Below are 3639 nucleotides of genomic sequence, written 5' to 3' on the forward strand. Positions count from 1 at the left end.
GGAGAATGGCCAGAAGTACCGGGGTGGGGAAAACGAAGAGCCAGCAGGAGAAGGCGAGCTTCCAGAAAGCCCCACCACAAATGCTTAGTGCCTGGGTAGGCACAGGGATTGCTGGGTTTTGCCTGGGAGCAAGTCCATAGGCCCTGCTGGAGATTGCCAAGATAACCACCCCCTGCCAGAGGTCACCAGGGATTGCCTGAAAACCTTCGGAAATGGTGCATGCCCCTATTGCTCAAAAACTGGAAGAAGCTGCAGCCTCAGCAGGTTATCCAGGCCACTGAGTGGGGCAGCGGGCCTACACTGAGTGCACTCCTACATTGGCAGTAGGCAGCTCTCCTGACCCATCCACCAGCTGTCTGCCTCCAGTGAGCAAGATCTTCAAGGCTGATCAGACCTCCAGTTGGCAGGGCTGATGAGATTCAGTGCGACCTGGTCAGATCTTTGGCCCAGATGAGTCACTTGAGTTTCAGTGTCCTGGACCAACTTTCCTGGACTTCAGAGGGCCCCTGCCAGCCTGAGTGAGCCAGGCTTGGCTGCATCTTCCTGGGAGCCCCATCTCACCTGCCCTCCATCCCCAGGGCTCCTGCTCAGCACTTCTTACTTTCCCAGGACAAGCCTGGCTCCAACAGACATCTCTAGATGCTGTGTTTCTCTTTGTGGTGAGCAAAGAAACAGAATGAGTTCCATTTTTTAATTTTTTTCTAATTTTACCTATAACTTATTTATTGTAAAAAGGTTTGGGCTGCAGGAGACCTGACCCACCCACGCAGGAGGCCTCAGTAGCCTCCCAATCCACCCTGTTACTAAATATTTCCACTCCTAACAATATAGGGGGAAGCAGGAGCAAGTGCAGTTTCACTGCACCAGTGCTGTGAGGATGGGGCCAGAAGGGTCCTGCCCAGTAGGATTCAATAGGAATTATATAGAAATAAACATCTCAATGTTTGTTTGGACGGATTGACATGGAGAAATTTAATTTTGATAGGTTCTAGTACACAGAAGTTAAGCTTCCTAACAGCCATGAGTTTACAGCTTCCTCTTTCTGAATTTGGCAGTGTTTTTTGATGTCCAAATTGCCACGATGTCCACACATATTTACAATAGTTTATATTATTCATTTTGTATTACTAATTGTGCACTTTGGCCAACAGTGTTTCATACATCATGGTTGGTTTCCAACCTTGCTTGAAAATTGGAAGTGACAGCCCTTTATGGAATGTTGCTTTTGACACTCTTCCATTTAAGGCTCTGTGTCCCCACAGTGCTACGAAGACAAATAGTCATCACTCTTCCATTTTGAGGGGGCCAGGGTAAGCAGGTGCAATTTGAGAATACAAAGTACCTTGGAAACAGAATCATCTTTCAATCAGTTTTAGTGTGAATTTCATTTACATTAGAATAGCCTGTTCATGCACTCACAAGATTTCAGGGAGGGACAATTGTCACCTTTGAAGAATCAAAGTGACCAACGGGCTTCCCTCAGTATTTTGTTTATTTGTTTCTGGAACTTAGTCATGCCATTGTAGATCGTTTCTTTTGGAATCACTGGGTGATGAGAAACCCCAGGCTGGAGAGCTGGACACCGTGGAGTCCCTGTGGGAGAACTGTTATTAGGGTGGCCTAACTTGGAAGGCACTACAGCCTGTGGGAAAGCAGCATCCAAGATTCTCTCTGGCGTGGCCGGGTGCTGGGTGAGGTAGCCAGCCCAACAGCTTATTCTGTTTCTGGAATGGTGACTCCCAGCCTGGGCATGGCTTCAGTTTCCAGGAAACAGGCATGGGCCAGGGAGCGCCTTACCTGTTTACTGCTGCGATGTGTGGGGCCTGTATCCGCCACTGGGCACTCCACCTCTTCAAGTGGGGTCCTGTGCATTCCTTTTGGAGGCTTCAAAAGACTTTCCTCTCTGACTCCCGGCGTCTTCACCTGGACACTGTAGGACCCCAGATCTGTGTGTTTCCCAAGTGTCTATAGCGCCAGGTGCCCCATTGTGACAGGGAAGATGACCAAATTAAGTGATTAGGGCCGTTTGAAAAAAAAGCAGGAGAGATGCTGTATGGAGGAGGCCTGACATGACTGCCTCTAGCCTGCGGCTGCTGGTGCCATGCACAGGCCGGACTGGTCTCTGCCAGGGTGATGTGATCCGTTGTGCTGAAGATTCTCACCATTTCCTTCCTTTCCCCATCGGGGACACCTGGGTAACCAGCTGAAGCAGTAGTTCCCCATCCGGAACAAAGACTGCAGACCCTCGCATGGGCTCCAGCCTGCAGGACACAAGCGTGAGCCTTGGAGGACCCCACATACCTAGGTGGTTGTGGGCTAGACCTGTGGCCTTCGCTGGGTTCTTGACTCATTTCTGGAGTGCGAGGGTTTTGTTCTTTTTCAACTGGAGGTGGCAGATGACTGTCCTTCTGGACTTCCTATATGCTCACCTGACCCCTGCGGGACCTGAGATCATTGGGGTTCCCAGGTCTTTATGGCATCACGCCCCCATTGTGACAACAAGGAGGATGACCAAAAGTATGCCGGTGGTTGAGGAAGAGAAAAAAGAGGAGTGGAGTTGCAGGGAGGAGGCTCGAAAGGATCACCTCCAGCCTGGGGCAGCTGGATTGGCGAGTCAGGGGCTGGCTCCTGCCTGGGCAAGACAATAAGCCATGATGAACAATGCCATTATCCTCCTTTTCAGTTGGGGGTACCTGGGCATATCTGAAAACCTTGAAAAAGTGTTTGCATTTTCACAGCTTAAGAAAAGGAAGCAGCAGCAGCTACAGTGGGTTTTTCATGCCTTCCAGTGGCATTGAAGAACCTGCACTGAATGCCACCTGGAAAACAGCCTGGACCTGCACCTTTGGGCCGGGGCACCCGTGGGAGCTCAGCCCTTGCCGCCTCAACCCTTTTTGGATTCTTTTCTCCCCAGACTGTCCCAGAGTTCAGGTCTTCTCATCTCTTGTCTGCCCAGTGAAGGCACAAGGGTGGAAAGGTGAGGGTGTGGAGTCAGGAGCTTTGTTCCAGTGCTGGGCATAGTGAGAAGTCAAAAGAGAGGTTATGATCTCATTGTGCTTGAAGGGGAGAGGCCAAAGCCTAAGACATTCTGCCTTTTTAGGGGAATTACCTTTCAAGGCTTATTTGGTCTTCACTAGCCTTTACATCTGAGGATGAAGGAGTTGAGGCTCTGTTACATGGATGTCTAAAGAGATCATAACTCTCACATTGAACGACACAGAGACTGATAGCTCTAGCACAGTACCTAGGTAATGTGACTCTCTCTTGCTACGTGTGCCCTTCCTACATAAGGAAATGTGACATACCACTGGGCCAAGCACCCAGGAAATGTGACTCTCCCGCCTGTGGCCTGCCTGTATTGGGCAATGTTGTGACACATCTCAGAGCTGAGCACCTAGGTGATGTAACTCCTTTTTTGGGAGCTGTCAATGGAAGGGATTGTGACATATGTTTGGCCAATCACCTAGATGATGTGACTCTCTTGCCTATAACTCAAATTGGGGAGAAATTATATCTTGACAATATTGAGATTTTATGATCATGCACATTAAATGTCTTTCTATTTATTAAGATCTTTTGTGATCTTTCATGGCTCTTTCATTAGAAATTTGTAGTTTCCATTGTATATAGATCTGTGTG

This window comes from Homo sapiens, chromosome 16, assembly GCF_000001405.40.
Source record: "Homo sapiens chromosome 16, GRCh38.p14 Primary Assembly".
NCBI classification, from domain to species: Eukaryota; Metazoa; Chordata; class Mammalia; order Primates; family Hominidae; genus Homo; species Homo sapiens.